General features: G+C 45.3%; 2 protein-coding genes across 23 annotated transcripts in view, besides 1 other annotated feature; one reads left to right on the forward strand and one right to left on the reverse strand.

Moving 5' to 3' along the window:
- Positions 1–16,608, forward strand: part of FHL1 (four and a half LIM domains 1) — a 64,658-nt gene extending 48,050 nt beyond the window's left edge. For 5 of the 22 annotated variants that reach the window (NR_027621.2, NM_001449.5, NM_001369329.1 and 2 more), the window contains exons 3-7: positions 11,656–11,837; positions 12,265–12,439; positions 13,041–13,210; positions 13,704–13,890; positions 15,120–16,603. Coding sequence is in view for 21 of the 22 variants with exons in the window: in NM_001449.5 (NP_001440.2) it covers positions 11,682–11,837; positions 12,265–12,439; positions 13,041–13,210; positions 13,704–13,890; positions 15,120–15,274 (843 nt within the window). In the remaining variant the exon portion in view is untranslated. Of the gene's footprint in view, positions 1–2,037; positions 2,113–2,295; positions 2,384–10,150; positions 10,189–11,655; positions 11,838–12,264; positions 12,440–13,040; positions 13,211–13,703; positions 13,891–14,491; positions 14,692–15,119 lie in introns of those variants that run through there. The other 17 variants (NM_001159702.3, NM_001369326.1, NM_001369327.2 and 14 more) reach the window with 10 other exon arrangements.
- The window catches only part of MAP7D3 (MAP7 domain containing 3), a 43,263-nt gene continuing 41,300 nt past the window's right edge, over positions 18,469–20,431 (reverse strand). The window contains exon 18 of the mRNA NM_001173517.2: positions 18,469–20,262. The gene's annotated coding sequence lies outside the window, so the exon portion shown is untranslated. The remainder of the gene's footprint in view (positions 20,263–20,431) is intronic.
- Positions 19,759–20,053: a silencer, noted in NCBI's record as "tiled region #1893; K562 Repressive non-DNase unmatched - State 23:Low". NCBI's record gives its function as "represses a minimal TATA promoter and a strong SV40 promoter by Sharpr-MPRA in K562 cells {active_cell/tissue: K562}" and the evidence as "EXISTENCE:reporter gene assay evidence [ECO:0000049][PMID:27701403]".

Here is a 20,431-nt window from a genome sequence, read left to right on the forward strand (position 1 = left end):
CTGAGCCACTGATCCAAGACAGGACAAAGTTACCAACTATTCTTCCTAAGAAATTGTTTCTCATCATGCAAGGGGCTGTTTCTGTCTTGGTTTTGTGGAAGGTCTAATTCTGTGGCTTGAGGACATCTGCAGTAGGGCCAGATGTCAGAGCAGGTAGTGGTCATGCTTCATGAAGTTTTTAGGAGGGCACAGTTACCTGGTTGATGCAAATGGAAGTAACTGGAATAAATGCTATTGTTGCAGGCCCAAGCTCCCAGTCCATCCTGGCTGGTCATAGTTGACTAATTCATGGTGGTCAAAAAGTGATTCTCTTGTCTTTGAATTTTCTCTTGTATTTTAGGCAAAACAGATTTGTTTTTTGATACTTTCATAAAGCTGTCTATCCATATTCTGTTGTCACTTTTCAAAATGATCAGAAACCTAAAGAACTACCATACTTGCCTAAAAGAAGACACTTCCTGATGCATAGCTTGAAACAGGAATTGACTTCCTAAAGGAAAGTATTTGGCACACCAAGCCTATTGTTCACAGCGCTGCAAGAGAGGCATTTCAACATACATGGGCTCTTCCTAAAAATATAACTTGCTAAAATAAAAAATTCAGGGTTCATTAAGGTTAATCATCTAATAAAGTAAGAGAATTTCCTCTAGGTGAAAAGTTTCAGTTTATTTTAGGGGTGTGGTGTTGTTACAACTGGCTAATCTCCGCACCATAATTTAATCAGGCTGGATGAGAAAGAGACTAGAAAGGCGTGGAGCCAGAGCACAGTGTAGCTTCTCTTCTTTTCCCAGGCTTATTTTTTTCCTCTAACATGTAATAAATTTACTCGTAACAACCTGGCTTTTATTGTGTCATTTTCTAGCTAACTGGGAGTTACTGATGTCAGTTGTCTTTTAGAATAACTTTTCCTTAAACATTTGAAGATCGTAAGAATTGGGGAACTCATTCATTCATTTATTCATGGAGCATTTACTGCTCACCTACTGTGTGCTATAGGAACATGAAGACAAGCAAAGCACTGCCCTGGCCCTCAACCTGGTAGGGGAGATGTGTGAATAGGGCCAAAACCACTTAAACAAGACAGTGGCTATAAAGGTGTCTGTACCAGCGAGAAGGTCAGCTGCCTTCCTTGAAGTTGAGTGGCCAAAACCACTTTCAGGATTGCAGGTGGGACTATGTTTTGGAGGCTTGATGGATTTTTCAGTTATTTAGTTCATTCTTTCAAGGAATAGTTATTGAGAGCCTCCTGGGAGCTGGGCAGTGTTCTAGGCTCTGGGGCCACTGCAGTGAGCTCCAGTACTAAATCCCTGCCTTCATGGAGCAAAGCAGGAGATCAGACAGCAAGGAGAGAAATCAGTGCAATACCAGCAGACTTGAAGTAGGGAAAGGAACAACCATGACTCTGGGCACAGGGGACAGTGAGGAGGCCAGTGAGGTGGGAGTGAGGGAAAGGGGGCTAAGGGTAAGGCCAGAGAAGGAATGTGGAAGAAGGTCCTGGAGGGACTTGGGGGCTTTCTTTTCCTAGAACATGCTCCTAATAGCCAGCCCCCAGACATCTGATGGCCTGTTGAGCTATTACAACATTTTAGGTTGATGTCTTCATTTTCATTCATGTTTTTCCTTTTATTGTCCCTGATGCTGAAAAACAAGAGGTTGAGTTTGTGAGACAAAATGTCTTCATTGTGTGTGTGATGGGGATAGGCATAGTCTCCCCATCTTGTTCTGTGCTGTCTGCCGTTAAGGAGGTGGGGAGATTACGATCACTCTCCTTTCCTGTACAGTAATCTGCTGATCTCTGGAACATACTAAGGAGGACATAGAGTGACAACATCTATAATCCCCTTAATCTCTATATTCATACTGTCTAATCTCCTTGAGTTACACTGGTAACATAAGTCTATCTCTTAGAGTTACTTTTATCATTAACAGCACAAAAATGTATTATTTACAGGGCCAAATGCAAGCTCTTGAGGCATATAAAGTGGATTAATAAGGTTGGCTCAGCGTTAAGCTATGCCAGAGCCGAGTCCAAATTTTATTCCGGTACAGGGATGACTTTCTATGTGGCCTCTCTGGCTCTGGAGCTAATTTGGATGCTGAGTAGCCCCGCAGGTATTTATATGTAGCGTTTGGTATTTTTACTGGGTCCTATTCTTCTCCCTTGGATCACCTAAAATGGTTAAGAATTTTCTAGTGGGATTAAGGTTGTGATCTCTGGGGAGGGGTGGGACATCTGCTCTCGGTTATTTTTGTGTTAGCCGCTTCCCCTTAAATGTATGTTCACAAATGAGCCACAGCCTTATCAGCTGGGGTTGAGGGAAGACTGGTCTAGGTGCTGCTCCTGAACTTGGTCTCTGAGCCATGGCTTCCCATAGACACTCAGGTAAAACTTCATGCTCTTTATCTTATATTGAGCACAGTTTTGTTAGGGCAGTGAATCCGTCATTGGGCTAAAAGATGGTTTTTGATGAAATGATTTTAGTCTTGTCTGAATAGTAAATAAATTATAGCTTGTCTCTGTTTTGCCTTTGCCTTTCATGCTATTTCAAAGACAAAATATTGTTCAAGTACAATGAACAGTTTGAGTGATTTATTTTAAAAAGAAGTATATAAACATGTTACCACTATATTTTTACCTTTTTCAGGACATCTCATGAAACTATAAGAGATTGTGGGAGGAAAGGTTTTTCTGGTTAGGAATTTTTGGCTTTCTTTTTTATAAGATACAATTCTTCATCTTGACAGTGCTTTACATCCAAGGTGTTTGGAGAAGGTAAATCGAATGTGGAGCTGAAAGGAGGAACATTTGTAACTAAGAAAGTCCATAATGACCTAGCACATCTTCCCTTTTGCTGACAATGTTTTAAATCTTCCCGAAGTAACAGCTATGTTCCTTTTGATATGCTAAGTATGTTATTAATTGTTTTTAGCAGAAAAAGGGGCACATTTTGGACTCCTTGGGACATGAGCATTTTCTTCTGGTTTTGTAACCTTACAATTAAGGAAGCCCTTTGGCCATCGACAAGAAATCTATGAACTAGGGGCTGAGGGGCCAAAAGCCCAGTTATTTGAAGCCAGGAGGGTGGCTGTGGCCCTGTGGCCCTCTGCCTAAGTAACGGTTCCCTTTCTTGGGGCTGGTAAAGTCAGACGGTTAGATATAAAGAAGGCACTTCATCCTGTCTCCCAGCTTTCAGATTAAGGGATGTCATTATCTATGTTTTTTTTTTTTTTTGAAAAATCATTTTTTAAAACTCATTGCCTGTCAATATTTAAACAATGGAAATACTTTAGGAAATTTCTCTTTTTGGGGTTTTAAATATGCTGCAATGGAATGCCCTACCTTAATGAATTAATATGTAATGTCTTCCCTGTTCCCAAGTGTTCAAAAGTTGTCTGGTTTTTTTTTTTTTCCAACCCTCAGGAGCTGTTTCACAAACATGGTACCAAATGCTTGAGATTGTGGTTATCAGCCAAGATACACATTCTCTGGGTGTAGGCAAACTAGTCAGCTGTGCTAGTTGTCCTGATGAACCTTAAATGCATGTTACCTGGTAGAATAACTCTCATTTTGTTTACTAATTAAGTGACAGAATAGTGACAGAAAGTTTAAAAGTTTAAATAGTGACAGAAAGTTTATAGCATACCCAACCTTGGGTTTTAAATTGCACCAAATTCTTATGTCGTTCTTGTGTATGTAAGTCTGGAGGCTCTAATAACTGTGGCTAAATGGGACCAATTATTTATACCTTTTAGATGATTTTTGAATTCAGGAAATTGCATTTTGTATTGCATTAGGTTAATAGATTCATGAAAGCAGAGAAGAATCAGTCCATGAGACAGAGAAGTCCTCATAGAAAATCAGTGTTGCCCTGAAACGGGCTCAGTATGGGCAAAATAGAAGCTAGGATAATTGGATCCAAATCCATTTTTAGTGACTATCCATATACTGAGAGGACATTTCAAGGACAAAAACAATGTATACTCTTGACATTGAAGACTTTCTGTCTGCAAAATTATGTAGATTCAATTTCTTTAGCCTTTGGCCTTTCAAGTCGAAAACCAGGTTTGGGGTGTGGAGGGGGATCAGGTCACTTGCCATATTACACAGCCATCGATTCCCTTCACCAGCTGCTGCTCAGTGGGCCGCACAAGCCCGCCAGTCTTTTCTCAGGGCAGGGATGGAAAATGAGAGGGTAGGATGAGAGGAAAGTAATCCAACTGGATTGGCTTCTTAAAATACAGAAGATTTGAGTGAGAGTGAAACTGAACATTTTGTGCTTTTGATGACCACCAAATGACTACCTACTACTTCACCACAGCTGGAGAAACTAAAAACACATGCTCTTTTGCTGCCGGGTCAGAAATGCTTTTTTTCCCATATGAAAGAGGGGCTGTGTTGCACGTAATCTGTGCAACATTATGAAAAATCTTCATATACAGACAAAATGGTACTAGAATTGAATCTGGACTGCAGGAAGTTCAGTGGCACATAATTTTTCTTTTAATAATCTATATCGAACCCTCCTGACACCCGATATAATCTAAAATGGCATTAGTTATACATCAGTGACCCAAAAAAGATTTGTTTTTTTTCTAAATGCAGCATACCAGTGAAGTTGCTAATTACATTGAATCATTCTGTACACGTTCTATTTTGAAGGGAAAAAACACTTTCTGATTTTTGTATGAAATTGTATGAAAGACTACTTTTCAGCCGTGACTCATGAGCTCCGTCTCATTGCAGCTACTTAGGTATTTATTCCCAAATGTCTGACGACACCTCCAGGTGCATTAGCATGTCTATTACACAAGTGTCCTATTCATTGGCTAAGGCTTTGCTCCATCTGTTGAATGTTCTGAGGAAAGCATTATACCCTTTCTTTAGAAGCCAGTGTTTATATGTGGAGTCACTAATGTACTGGTAGGTTGGATTTAGTGAAGAACAGATCTGAAATAACCTGATTTTTTTCCATTTGGGTTGTTGTTCATTGTTTACACTGTACATTACACCCTTCATGGAAAACACATAGAAAAATGCTACCTACTCATGATATTCACATTCTCCTTAAATATTCATAGTTTGAGCAACTCAGGCATGAGGGAGAAGATGAACAATAGGAAGAAATACATGAGAAAATACATGTAAAAACACAAGCAAGATTTATTAAATACAAATCGACTGTAATGAGAGGTTTATAGTAAAAAAGAAAAAAGAAAAAAACAAATGTTGTAATGTTATATTACTTGTATGTGTACATGATTAAATTGAAAGCCAAAACTTTTAATTAAGATACTGAGGTTTATTTAGGCACCTCTCAGCATGTTGGATGTAGTTCAAGAATTTTCTGAAAAAGGAAGCTTGTTTATTAAGTGAAAATGATGTGTCTTTTGAAGCAGGCATAGAAAGTCAGGCTACCCTTTTGGAATAAATGTCTAAAATTTTATCACCCAGCCACATTTCTAACTGTATTCTAAGCTTGTAAAACTTTAATTTAGTTAATTTTTAATTAAATTATTTAATAATGATGCTTTCTGTCTTAGAAAATCAGGGGACATTTATGTGGACCTAAGGTGTAGGTTAGACTTCAGCACCTTACACGTCATATAAGATGATTTTTAAAATCAGGAAATAGTATGTCATATTGCATTAGGTTCATAAGTCCATGAAAGCAGAGGAGAATAGGCCCAAGAAAGAAGTCCTTACAGAAAGGAAATCAGTGTGGTCCTGAAATAGGGTTGGTATGGACAAAATAGAGGCTCAGATAATTGGATCAGAAGCCACTTTCAGTGACTATCCACATACCAAAGTTTTAGAAACTTAGTTGTGGTAACATATCTCCATCTGTCAATCAACAGGCATATACTGAGTGATTCCTGTATACAAAGCCCTGGATTAGGTACTGGGGCCCCCTAGTGTATGAGCAGAACTTTCTGTCATAGAGAAACCCCACTTGTTAGCACTAGGGAATGTATCCAAGTCACTCGGCACCAAAGTATGTTAGCAGCGGGGAATCTGTGGGTCTGTAGCAACCTCATTTCTTGCCTCCTCAAGGAAGAACAAGGCAGAGGGAGAAGCCAAGGCAACTTTTAGAGCAGGAGTGAAAGTTTATTAAAAACTTTTAGAGCAGGAGGCCGGGCACGGTGGCTCATGCCTGTAATGCCAGCACTTTGGGAGGCTGAGGCGGGTGGATTACTTGAGGTCAGGAGTTGGAGACCAGCCTGGTCAACATGCTGAAACTCTGTCTCTACTAAAAATACAAAAATTAGCCAGGCTTGGTGGTGCACGCATGTAATCCCAGCTACTTGGGAGGCTGAGGCAGGAGAATTGCTTGAACCTGGGAGGCGGAAGTTACAGTGAACAGAGATTGCACCATTGCACTGCAGCCTGGGTGACAAAGTGAGACTCCGTCTCAAAAAATAAAATAAAGTTTCAGAGCAGGAATGAAAGTAAAGTACATTTAGAAGATGACCAAGCAGGCTACTTGAGAGATTCAAAAAGTGCATGGTTTGACCTTTGACCTGGGCTTTTATATGTTGGCATGATTCGGGTGTTATATTACTTCTCTCCTGATTCTTCCCTTGGGGTGGGCTGTCCGCATGCCCAGTGGCCTGCCAGCACTTGGGAAGTGCCGCATGCGTGGTGTTTACTGAAGTTGTGTGCATGCTTACTTTAAGCGATTTTTCCCTTAGCAGTAGAGCATTCCCAGAGGTAGGTCTTATACCAGTTAAACACCGCAATTTTGCCTCTTAGTGCACATGCTTGAGCCCAATTACCCACCTCCTGAGATCTCATGGGGACGTGGCTGAGCATCAGTTTCAGGTGTTTCTGTCTATTAGGGACCGTGTTTCCTTGGTGCCAGCTGCAACCAATTATTATTTTAGCGAGAGATAGTTTAACAACCATCTGACCTTCACCTGATGGCCGCCTGACATTCCTGGTTGGGTGGGGGGCCCTCTCTTGCCCTGCTCATGTCTAATACCTACTCTGGCATCCCTACTATGTACAGATGAGGGCTACACCGAGACATTAAAATTAGTCAAAGAGCTGCCCGAGGGCAAACATGCCCTCCACAAAGACAAGTGGTAAGGGAAGAAGCATGGTGATGATGTGTAGCAATTGTTTCCTTCAATGATGGCTGACACTCCCATTCCCGGATAACAGCAATAGGTCAAGGCAGACATATCTAGAAGTTCTGGAAGATTAAAGGCCTTCACATTTCATGTACTTAGAAATAGCTAAGGGGATAAAAAATTATTCCCTAAGAAATAAATGCCTAAGTACATGTAATTCTGTAAGGTTGAAGAGAGCCCAAAAGAAGAGGTAAAATGCTGGCTGGGCATGGTGGCTCATGCCTGCAATCCCATCAAGTTGGGAGGCCGAGGTGGGCAGATCACTTGAGGTCAGGAGTTCAAGACCAGCCTGCCCGACATGGCGAAACCCCGTCTCTACTAAAAATACAAAAATTAGCCAGGCGTGGTGGCATTCACCTATAGTCCTAGCTACTCAGGAGGCTAAGGTAGGAGAATTGCTTGAACCCAGGAGGTGGAGGTTGCAGTGAGCCAGGATAGCACCACTGCACTTCAGCCTGGGTGACAGAGCGAGACCCTGTCTCAACAACAACAAAGAGGTAAAATGCTATCTTCATTTTTCCCTATTCTCTCATTTCAAACAAAAGAAAGTGCAAGCTGGGATGGACGCGGTGGCTCATGCCTGTAACCCCTGTAATCTCAGGTGCGGTGGCTCACGCCTGTAAAATGCACTTTGGGAGGCCAAGGCAGGTGGATCATGAGGTCAGGAGATCGAGACCATCCTGGCCAACATGGTGAAACCCTGTCTCTACTAAAAATACAAAAATTAGCTGGGTGTGGTGTCACATGCCTGTAGTTCCAGCTACTCGGGAGGCTGAGGCAGGAGAATCACTTGAACCCAGGAGGCAGAGGTTACAGTGATCCAAGATTGCGCCACTGCACTCCAGCCTGGTGACAGAGCGAGACTCCGTCTAAAATAAAAAAGAAAGAAAGAAAGAGCAAGCTTTTCTCTCCTCATGAAGTCAAAGCTTGATAGTAGCTCAGACTCAGGGAGCCCACACTCAGGATCTTTGCATGTGTGTCTCAGCATTGTCATTTATAAGCTGGCTTTTTAGAGTTGTTTTGGTCTTGTGCACATCAGCACATCATTCATATTTTATACAAAATTGTGACGTGATCAGTATCTCCTCCAACTTCATCCTGAGCACACTGCGTGCATGAGGGTTTGAAATTGTTTTGTAACAAATAATCATAAATTTAGAAGTACGTGACGTAAGCTAATTCAGGTTGCCCAGAGTTCCACTTAATTTGATTTATTGCAAAACAAATACGAAAGTTCATGAATTTGACATAGACATTGTTAACATACTTTAAGTATTTCTAGCCTGTTTACTTATTATGCAACAAATCCAACATTCCTAGAAGTGCCTATTTTATCTAGACTAATTGTTTCCACACACATTAAAAGGACTCAAGTGAATTGTAGAAATGTATTCTAAAAGAATATGCCCTTTGAAATGATTCTCCATCTGGATACAGACTGCAGGTTTAAGTATAGAGTGGTGGGGAATCTAAGGTGTAAGGTGACCCTAGAGTTTTCAAACTCAGAGTGAAAAAATCTTGCCTAAAGCTAGGATTCAAAAATACCAAGAGATGAAACTCTTCTTATGGGTACTATTAACTTGGGGTTGATTCATTTAATTTTCCTTTTGCTTGGTTTAAGACCATGTACTATAGGAATGATACAGTGGCCAGTGACTTCATTGTCTGACATTTTCAACACCCTTTGTTACTTCTATCTTCACTGGTGAGCTGTGGATTATTTTATCATCTGGATGCTTAGAACTCTGAGCAAGTCATGTTCTAGAACTATGAGACTAAACAATGAAGAACTTTGCACTGGTAATATCAAAGTACTGAAAGTGTGTGGTTTTAAAGTGTGAAAAACATGGCAGTTAAGATCTCTCAGGTACTTTGAACCATAATGCAGTTTTCCTTCTCTTCAAAACCTCTACTTCTAAATGGCATTCATTGTGTTTTCTAGTGTTTTTTCTTTGGTATGACACTAGTTAACCTGTATTTCTTACCATAAAGCTAGGACTCAAATACTAAGAGGTTTGACTCACCTTAGGTGGAACTTTATATAGTACTTTAACTTAGAAATATTTGGAATCAATTTCTGCTTATAAAGGTATCAAAAGCAAGTGATACTAAAACGAGTAGGTTCAAAGTTGTATACTAAATAGAGACCTTGGTAAGAGAGAATGAGGGATTTTCAAATATGGTCCAGAAGATAGTCTCTGAAAGGCTAAACCAGCAATGGTTACTAGCCATGCAGGAAGCCAGTGCTGTCTAATCTTACAAATTCTGTTTTCCTGCCAAATGGCATTTAGGAGCAACTGATAATTTATTTCTTGCCACTTGCCGTTACTGGAGATTTATTTGGTTTCTCAACTCAGCCCTTAACAAGAAAGCAAGTCTTTGTTGAGGGCACAATATTATCAGTATGGCAAAGCTAAGACGAGGCTTCTGTGTGACACTGGAAAGACCAACAAGAATGGATTAAAGAGAGTGATTTTCCATATGCTGTCACTGGGACAGGTACTTTTCTCTGTAGACACACAGGCTAAAAGCAGTTTAAAAGCTTCCTTACCTAAACAGTACATAGTTCAAGGAGATAGGCCCTGTGTCCATTGCGTCTCTAGTTTTTGTTTCTAACCCATTATATAAAGAAACATCCCAGTTTGCTTTTTAGAGAAAAGTTCAAGTTAGAACCATTCTCTGGTCTTGCTAAGTCTCTTAATTGTGACACAACTGTCCTAAGCAACTGTCCTTGCACAAGAATGTCACTCATCTGCTTCATCTGCCAGCTCCTTAGAGATGAGGGGGGTCTGTGTGTCAGCAGGAGGCAGAAGGCCCTGTGGCTCATCCAGTGGCCTGATTTCCTTTGTTTGGAGGCTTGGTTCTGAGTGAGAGTTCAACAGCCTTTGCCCAGGCGGCTTCTCAAACACAGGGTGTGGTTTCCTTAGCTCACTCTCTGCTGTTTGGTTGCTCATGGCAACAAGATCCAAATAACTTGGACATGTGTTTGTATAAAAAAAACCTGGGAATGGAACCCAAAGTGAGACTTTGGGGCTTTCAGTTAGTGGAAGAGCTGCGGTGAGTACCAGGCAACTGCTCATTTATTTTCTCTCATTCTTTCTCTCTAAATTACGCTGGAAGTTTGCTAGCACAATAACCATGTTTGTGGATAGTTTTAGAAAGTAGTCTCAATTCTTGTATTTCCTGCACAAATGAAATAATTGCTATCTATTTACCCGTGCAAATTTCTTTTTCGGGGGAGAGGAACAAATTAGCATATGTTTAAAGAAGTTGAAAGCTAATAGAAACTCATATTTGGTACCTTTTGGGTGGCAGGATTCTATAGGAAATGCCTTGGCAAAGGGAGCTGCAGAGTGCCTTAGTAATGCTTGGGATTGCAGGCGTGTTGTCTAGGGCCACAGCCGGGGAGGGGACCAGGGAGGGAAGAGGGGTTGTTCATACGGAGGGAGTGGAAGGGATTCTTGGAATAATTTTTTCCAGACTCTATTTTAAGATTATAATTTTTAAGACAGCAAATATCCCAAATGGTAATACTGGTTACACTTCTATGAGCATATTGATTCTCACTTGCTTGACTCAAGGGAGGGTTTGATTTTGGTCACAAAGCCACCCGTGACTATGACAGATAATTCAAGGTTGCCAAACTTGCCTGTGCCAATTGACAAAGCCATTTATATAAGTCCTCTCTTGCTATATTGCTCTGGCCTCAAAAGGCAGTAAACTCTCTTGGACAAAACTCTTTAGGATCTATTCAGGGATTTAACACTTTTCTGCTAAATTGCAAGTAAATTTAAACATTTTAAACAAATTAACAAGGATTGCTTAGGTACCTGGTGTGGTACAGAATGAGCTGTCAGTTTCTATTCTGATGAATAGAATTTTATAGATAGGAGGAACGGGAGGCCTCCAGAGGATACTACCCTCCCTAAAAAGAGACGGAGGAAGAGCTGAAAGCGGGCAGAGAGGCTTCTTGATGACAACGTGGTGGGCTTAGAGAAGCTGCTGCCTGCAGGCGGGGCCCCTGCTTTCCTGCACCCCTTTGAGCCTCTGCCCCACACTCTTCCTTTGTATAAAACAACTGCTTCTTGCCTGCCTGCCCCATCACACCCCTCCACTCCATCGGGTCACTGCTCAATGGCACAATAGCACTGCTCAGCCATACCTCCCAGCATCCTGTCCCCTATCTGGTGACTTGGCCAACACAGGCTCTGATCCACTTGCCCCGCTCCGCATCTTTTGTGAATCAGCACAGTTGATATATCTGAGCAGGGGCTTCTACCATCTCCCCAGGGAATCACTAGCCATCGGCCATCTGGCCCCGCGGGGTGCTTTTGTTCCTGGAATCATAGTGAAGTATCTGTTGTCTTGGTGCCTGGTAGTCAGCTCGGCTGAAGGGGAAGCTGGGTCTTGGTCCTCAGACCCCATGGACTCCAAGGCAGCATTGTGCAGGTGCCTCTGGGAGCCACTGCTCAGGGTGCTGGGGCATTTCCTGTGGTCATTTGTCCTGTCTGCTTGCCCCCGCAGGTCCCTCCAGCTACAAGGTGGGCACCATGGCGGAGAAGTTTGACTGCCACTACTGCAGGGATCCCTTGCAGGGGAAGAAGTATGTGCAAAAGGATGGCCACCACTGCTGCCTGAAATGCTTTGACAAGTTCTGTGCCAACACCTGTGTGGAATGCCGCAAGCCCATCGGTGCGGACTCCAAGGTAACGGGCATCCCCATGTGCCAATGGGAAGGGCTGGGTTTTGGAGTGTCCTTTGCCCACAACCATGGCAGCAGCAGCTGGCTGTTAGGATTTCCCAGCATCACTGCAGCCACCTTGAGGCCTCAAGGAAGCCTCCTCCACTCCCCAGGCCACAGTGGCCCGAGCTGTTTAATGTGGGGCTTGACTGGATGGGCGCCAGCGCCCTTGCCAGCTCTTTTGATTGCATTCTAAATATTTCAAGAATTGTGAGATTTTTATCCTCACCTCAGCGTCCCTCCTATAAGAATAGTCACTGTGGGGCAGTCCCAGGTGTAAGGGACTGTGTCATCTCAGTGGTCAGTCCCAGGGAAATCAGCCTTATGGGAGGGCTCCTGCCACCACCCCCAGCACCCCTCATGGTGGCCCACCCTGTCTGCTTGGTTTCCAGGAGGTGCACTATAAGAACCGCTTCTGGCATGACACCTGCTTCCGCTGTGCCAAGTGCCTTCACCCCTTGGCCAATGAGACCTTTGTGGCCAAGGACAACAAGATCCTGTGCAACAAGTGCACCACTCGGGAGGACTCCCCCAAGTGCAAGGGGTGCTTCAAGGCCATTGTGGCAGGTACTGCCTCCTTCCCACCCCGGGTTCCCAGGGAGGAGGCCCTGAGGGCAGACGTGATGTGGGCTTGCTTATCATGGTGGGGCTAACGTTGCTCTGAGCTGCTTTGAGATCTTAGCATATATATGTACACATATACATACACGTATATATGCGTACACATATATGCTCGCACACACGCACACACTCGGAGACTAAAGAACACTGGCGAGAACAGCCTGTGGCAACAGAATGAAGTGAACAGTATGTAGCGCTTTCTCATTTGGGCGTAGTAAGTGATGAAAGCATGCTTCTTCCTCAGGGTGTCATTCTGGGCCAGGCAGTCCCTGATTTAATGTCTAAGTGCACGCAGGGTATAGAGGTGGGGGAGTGGGGGATTCAGGCACTGGATCCTAAAATAATAATGCTGGGGTCCCCACCCATGACAGAAATCCTGGGTTGGCACAAGCACAAGTAGAACACAGGTAGGTTAGTTGGAGGTGTGAGGCCAGTAACTGCAGGGCCTGCATCCCCTCACCTCTGGAGGGCCTGGGGAGGGGAGCTGAGTGGATGCAGCCCCCTGCAGAGCCTGTCAGTGGGGCTATCCAATTGCTTCCCTCTGCAGGAGATCAAAACGTGGAGTACAAGGGGACCGTCTGGCACAAAGACTGCTTCACCTGTAGTAACTGCAAGCAAGTCATCGGGACTGGAAGCTTCTTCCCTAAAGGGGAGGACTTCTACTGCGTGACTTGCCATGAGACCAAGTTTGCCAAGCATTGCGTGAAGTGCAACAAGGTATGCTTTCAAGGGAGTTCTGCATTGACCGTTGTTTCTAGAAGTGTTTGACAGTTTGCAGAGCACTTCCACACACACTATCCCATTCCATCCTCACGACAGCCCTGTGACGTAGGAATTATTATTCCCGTTTTACAGATGAGGAGATCGTGGATTAGGAAGCAGTGCCACAGCCAAGTCAGGCTGTCAGTACGCATCCTCAGCCTGGTGGTGCGGGTGGCCCGTATGGCATGCTGAGCTGGGCAGCCCTGGCTCTAGAAGCCTGCCTCCACCACTTAGGGGCTGTGTAACCTCACATAGGGGCTCACCTTCTCCGAGCCTTGGTGTCTTCATCTGTAAAGTGGGGATAATAATAGCCCCTGCCTCCCATGGCTGTTGTGGAGATTAAATGAGATATTGTATACCAAAGCGCCCAGCACAGTGCCTGGCACGCAGTAGGCATTCAACAAAATGGTTGTTGAATCTGAATCCGGTGCTACACTCCCTGGTCTAGGCCATCACATCTGGAGGAATCACTTACCAGGATCAGCCCTGGCATGCCGATTGCTTTGTGTGTGTTACCTGCTCTAAGAAGCTGGCTGGGCAGCGTTTCACCGCTGTGGAGGACCAGTATTACTGCGTGGATTGCTACAAGAACTTTGTGGCCAAGAAGTGTGCTGGATGCAAGAACCCCATCACTGGTAGGCTAAAGAGTCCTTGCTAAGTCTGCCAGGCTAGGTTTTGCGCATGGTAACCATCTCTCATTTTCCTGTCGTCGGTTTCATCCACAAAGGCCCCCAGAGAATGCCCTTCTCCCCCTGCTATTGTGGTCCCAAAGGCCCCCCAAGAGTTTGGATTCGTCCCCAGGCCAGGTTAGCCTTTGCAATACAGAACACTTCCTGACTGTTGACTAACAATGCTGAGAGTTCACAAGCCTGAGACCTGCCAGCCAACACCGGCAGGCACTGCCACTTTGCAGGGGGATTCTGGGGGGAGGGGTGGGAGGAGGGTAGAAAGAAGGGGGTGGGGGAGGGTGGGGAAGGGGTAAGGGAGGCCGAAGAGTGATAACCCGGGATTGTAATACCCCATAGCTGAAGGCTAGTTCAGAGATGCCTGTTGGCAGGGTTTCTTTTTTTTTTGGTTTGCTGTTTATTTGTTTTTGCGATCAGCAAAGCTAATCACTTCATTCCTCATCTCGCGGCCGCGATCCACGTGCCCTGGGCCCTTTCCCTTGCCTCCAATTTTCCCATCTTCCCGGGGAGCCTTGAAATGTACATTTGAGAAGACTTTTGCCATCCTCAGGGAAAAGGACTGTGTCAAGAGTGAGCCACCCAGTCTCTAAAGCTAGGAAGCCCCCAGTGTGCCACGGGAAACGCTTGCCTCTCACCCTGTTTCCCAGCGCCAACCTCCGGGGCAGGCATCCGGGTGGAGAGAGGACTTGTCCCTCGTGGGTGGTGGTTCTTTATAGAAAAAATCGAAGCTTAGCAGCTCCTCGAGGCCCGGTAAGTGCACACCCCACGAACAGCCCAAGTTTGCCTCCTGGTGGCCACTTTGATGTCATGGCCCTGACCTAAATCAAAGAAACTGGTTATGCTGGGAGGTCGGTGCGCGTCACAGGGCAATAGCGTGGTGGCATGGGAACGTGGGGTCTTTACATCAGGGAAGCCCTTGGCCGGGCTTCAGCATCTTCTCAGGTCCTTGAGAGCCACAGCAGGGTTGCGGCGGCATGGGGGACAATGGCGGCGTGGGGGACTGTGCACGATGGAGTGGAGGAGGGGGTCTGGGAGCCAGGCAGACCTGGCTCTTGCGTGCTTGTCGGTCTGTGAGTGGGGCAGGTCGTCATTTTATCTCTCTGAATCGTGGTTTCCTCACCTGTATTCATTCAGCTGTTTCTCTTGTTTTCTTTTCTTTTCTTTTTTTTTCCCCCCAGGGTTTGGTAAAGGCTCCAGTGTGGTGGCCTATGAAGGACAATCCTGGCACGACTACTGCTTCCACTGCAAAAAATGCTCCGTGAATCTGGCCAACAAGCGCTTTGTTTTCCACCAGGAGCAAGTGTATTGTCCCGACTGTGCCAAAAAGCTGTAAACTGACAGGGGCTCCTGTCCTGTAAAATGGCATTTGAATCTCGTTCTTTGTGTCCTTACTTTCTGCCCTATACCATCAATAGGGGAAGAGTGGTCCTTCCCTTCTTTAAAGTTCTCCTTCCGTCTTTTCTCCCATTTTACAGTATTACTCAAATAAGGGCACACAGTGATCATATTAGCATTTAGCAAAAAGCAACCCTGCAGCAAAGTGAATTTCTGTCCGGCTGCAATTTAAAAATGAAAACTTAGGTAGATTGACTCTTCTGCATGTTTCTCATAGAGCAGAAAAGTGCTAATCATTTAGCCACTTAGTGATGTAAGCAAGAAGCATAGGAGATAAAACCCCCACTGAGATGCCTCTCATGCCTCAGCTGGGACCCACCGTGTAGACACACGACATGCAAGAGTTGCAGCGGCTGCTCCAACTCACTGCTCACCCTCTTCTGTGAGCAGGAAAAGAACCCTACTGACATGCATGGTTTAACTTCCTCATCAGAACTCTGCCCTTCCTTCTGTTCTTTTGTGCTTTCAAATAACTAACACGAACTTCCAGAAAATTAACATTTGAACTTAGCTGTAATTCTAAACTGACCTTTCCCCGTACTAACGTTTGGTTTCCCCGTGTGGCATGTTTTCTGAGCGTTCCTACTTTAAAGCATGGAACATGCAGGTGATTTGGGAAGTGTAGAAAGACCTGAGAAAACGAGCCTGTTTCAGAGGAACATCGTCACAACGAATACTTCTGGAAGCTTAACAAAACTAACCCTGCTGTCCTTTTTATTGTTTTTAATTAATATTTTTGTTTTAATTGATAGCAAAATAGTTTATGGGTTTGGAAACTTGCATGAAAATATTTTAGCCCCCTCAGATGTTCCTGCAGTGCTGAAATTCATCCTACGGAAGTAACCGCAAAACTCTAGAGGGGGAGTTGAGCAGGCGCCAGGGCTGTCATCAACATGGATATGACATTTCACAACAGTGACTAGTTGAATCCCTTGTAACGTAGTAGTTGTCTGCTCTTTGTCCATGTGTTAATGAGGACTGCAAAGTCCCTTCTGTTGTGATTCCTAGGACTTTTCCTCAAGAGGAAATCTGGATTTCCACCTACCGCTTACCTGAAATGCAGGATCACCTACTTACTGTATTCTACATTATTATATGACATAGTATAATGAGACAATATCAAAAGTAAACATGTAATGACAATACATACTAACATTCTTGTAGGAGTGGTTAGAGAAGCTGATGCCTCATTTCTACATTCTGTCATTAGCTATTATCATCTAACGTTTCAGTGTATCCTTACAGAAATAAAGCAGCATATGAATAACCTGCCTCCTGTCTTTTCATTCTGCCTGGTGGAATCGCTATAAGGTGATACTCCTAATCCAGAAACCTAAATGACTTATTTTCCTTCCAGGATATACTCACTTTAGTGCAGGCGCACAGAACATAGGAATTATAAACAAACCTGTAAAAACCACACTTGATTGATAAATAAATAATTAAAAACAAACAGAAACCACTCTGACCTAAAATAGTATTTCCCAGATTTTCACATCCCTGAAAAAGAAAGAAAACGATGAATTGGTTTGATTTGGCCAGGGGATTAGGGAGGGAATCCCTGATGAAGCATGGCACTGAGAAGCCATCTTGGTCCCTGTTTGTTGGGTGCTTCCTCGGTGTGCCTTTCCCCTTGTGCCCTCTGGAGCCTGGGGTCCAGGTTGAACGTGACCATCTCAACTGCGGCTGCCTCCACCTGCCAGCTGAATGACACCCTCGCTCCTTCTTGTGGATGTGGCTCACTAAGGAAGCTGCCCATTTGGGCCCATGCACTTCAGTTAGGGGGAACATGCAGGGATGCCGTGGGCAGAGGCAGGGGGTTGGCCTGGCATTGAGGCTCCCCAGTTGCCGCTGCTTCTAGACTAGCACCACACACCAGTGTCTTTTGTTCACCTCTGAGGCTCGTGTTCTTGGGTCATCCAACCTGCCCACACCCATGTGGCCCTTACGGCACAGCACAAGAGGCCCCATGCGACAGGTGTCTGCTGCACTCTCCTGGTGGAAGAGGCTTCAGACCATAAGGGCCCCTCGTCAAAGTACAAGCAGAACTGGGTGGGAGGAGGGGGTGTTAGTCTTAACTGGGCCACATGCTGAGGGTGATAAAAGCAAAGGACAGAAGCCCTTTGGTGCTAACGTTTGCCTTCTGAGAAGGGAACTGAACCTGTCAGCAAGAAACCATGAGCACTTTTAGGAATGTGGCACATCCCCTTGTGTGTGTTTCCTTACAGAAATTAGCCATGAAAACCTTGAAACCAATGAAGTCTGTCCAGTCATGTGGGGCCCCAGGGACAGTGAGGCTGGCTCAGGGGATGGGGAGTGGCTGCCCTCACTGCTCCCAAGGGAGTGGGCTGAGTTCCTGAGGCTGCAGCAAGGAAAGGAGCCCCACGGGGAGAGGGGACAGAAGACAGGCCTGGGATGGAGAGGGGGCCCCATCTGCCTTCACTAAGGGCTTTGGCCCCGGCTTATGCTCTCAATCCATTTCGGCTGAGCCCTGGGCCTTCAGCATCCAGACGCATGCTCTCCTTCCTACCCACGTGCTCTTTCCCATTCCGGAACTCCTCCTCACTGCGACAGTTCCTTTCCCTCCAGTCCTCGGTCCACCCTCCTTCTCAGCCCCTTCCCACCCTAATGCCCCTCCGCATCTGCCCTACATTCTATGGTTTGCACTTCACTCGTTTCCCTCCTCACTCCTGTTATCCCTTTGCCCTTCTAGCCTGCTTGGCCTGCAAAACCTGAGTGGATGGCTTGAGCTCTGTTGAGGAAAAGCACCCTGGCCTAAAATTCCCCGTCCCACTACTCTGCCACTTGGCCCAAAGTCCCAAGACCGCCTCCACCACCTTCCTCACCCGGGAGACTGAGGTCTATCCGGAGTCAGCTTCTAACTATTGCTTGCTTCGTGATGCCTGCCTGCCGTTCACACTTCAGCATCTTGTGAAGCACCTACACGCATCACAGCTGACACGCACCATCACTCCCGTTTCCCAGATGAGAAAACAGGTTAAGAAGCTTGCCTAAGGTCACACAGCTAATAAGTGACAAGCCACACCCTAGACACACCTCTAGCATATCACTCATGACACTAAATTGTCGTAAAAAATAGACACATCACAATAAAACCATCGTGCACAGTGCTCAGTACTTAGAAGGCATTTGTTTGTTGAATATGCGATTTTAAGAGTGACACCCCTAAGGCTCAGGAGAAATGAGGGTAAATTTCCCCTTAACAATTTGTCAGCAGAGAAACATTTTCTCCCTCATAATTAATGGGATCAGAATATCAAGAACCTCTCTGCTTGTGGTTAACAGGGTGGGCTCTGGCACCAGGCTACCAGGGTTCAAATCCTGGCTGCTCTGCCACTTTGTAGTCATGAGACTGTGGGCAAGTTAACCTCTCTGAGCTTGATCCTTCACCTGTGAGACGTAAAATTTCTACTTTGCAGAATCCCATGTGGGAGACATAATGCAGGTGCTTAGTGAGGGGACTGGCACCCAGTAAACACACTAAATGCCAACAAACATTTCATTCCCAGCACCAAAGACACTGCTCTGGTGTCTGTGACATACCCTGCAAGCCTCAAGACACTATGTCCACTCCCAAAGCAGTGTGGGGTGTTAGTTTGAGGGACAAACTTGGGTTTGAATATCAGCTCTGTCTCTTTCCAGCTGTGTGACCTGGAACAAATGCTGCTCTCCACAAATTTCAGTGTCCTCATAGGCATAAATGAATACCCACACCTCATAGAGTTGTTGTGAGCATTGAAAATGCCTGGCTGGGCACGGTGGCTCATGCCTGTAATCCCAGCACTTTGGGAGGCTGAGGCAGGCAGATCACCTGAGGTCAGGAGTTCGAGACCAGCCTGGCCAACATGGTGAAACCCTGTCTCTACTAAAAATACACAAATTAGCCAAGTGTTGTGGTGTGTGCCTGTAGTCCCAGCTACTCAGGAGGCTGAGGCAGATGAACCCCTTAAACCTGGGAGGCAGAGGTTGCAGTGAGTCAAGATCACGCCACTGCATTCCAGCCTGGGCAACAGAGCGAGACTCCATCTCAAAAAAACAAAAAGAAAATGCCTATCAAGTACCTTGCATATTGCACATGTAAACCTAACTGCAATGATTACAATACAGTTGGGGAAATTAGAATCAGATGGGTGCCTAGGACCCATCTGGAAACACTGTAACTGGACTGGTAAGGAGACCAAAGGCAAGGAGGCTGTTTCGGGGCCTGTTTTGACCAACCAGGCCGGCCAGGCACTGGAGGGGTGGGGTCACTGAAAATGACAGGGAATTGCCCCCTGACATGATAAAATGTCATGCACAGTCCGCCTCCACGCTCTGGCTCCTTGGCCATCGCTGCTGTTTTATGCCTCCTGATCCCTCTTGCTCTGGCTCCAAGGAGTTAGAGGTGTTTGAGAACAGTGGAGTCTCAAAACTGAAAAGGCTGCAGAGATTGTAGCACAGCCCCCTCATTTGACAGACAAGGAACAGGGATCAGAGAAGAGCAACAACGTGCACAATGTCACACGTGAGCTAGCAGCCCTCTCAGCTGGGTTCAGGTCTTCAGGGGCCTGTCTGGCATTCTTTATGGTATTTCACACTGCATTCTTGTGGTTTTTAGGGATTGGAGCTGTTAAAAAACTTCATTCCACATGCAGTGTCCACAATGACACAGGCGTAGAAAATGCGCTGATCTGCAGAATCTGCTGGTAGAGGCCAGGGGTCTGTCCCTCCGGGTAGAGGATACCAGGAAGGGAAATGCGAGGCAGCAATGCGTGAGGGGAAAGCTAGGTCAGTGTCCATCACCTTGGCCTTGTAAACAGGAACATCCTGGTAGACAGTTTCAATGGATGGATCAACAGGACCTGGCGCCAGACTTGGCAGTGAAGAGTTTCCAGCTCAGATGAGACACAAGGAGGAATGGGATTTCTGGAATTTGACAGGAATGGGATGTGTCTAGTTCGTGCTGATTTAAAAGTATATAGAATGCTCTAGCATGTTCAGTGGGGAATGGCTACCACCATTCTCATAAGCACCAGACCCCAAAGACTTGGGATAAACAAGGACCTTGCCTTATCAAAAACAAAACCTAGTAAAG

The sequence above is a fragment of the Homo sapiens genome, chromosome X, assembly GCF_000001405.40.
Source record: "Homo sapiens chromosome X, GRCh38.p14 Primary Assembly".
NCBI lineage: Eukaryota > Metazoa > Chordata > Mammalia > Primates > Hominidae > Homo > Homo sapiens.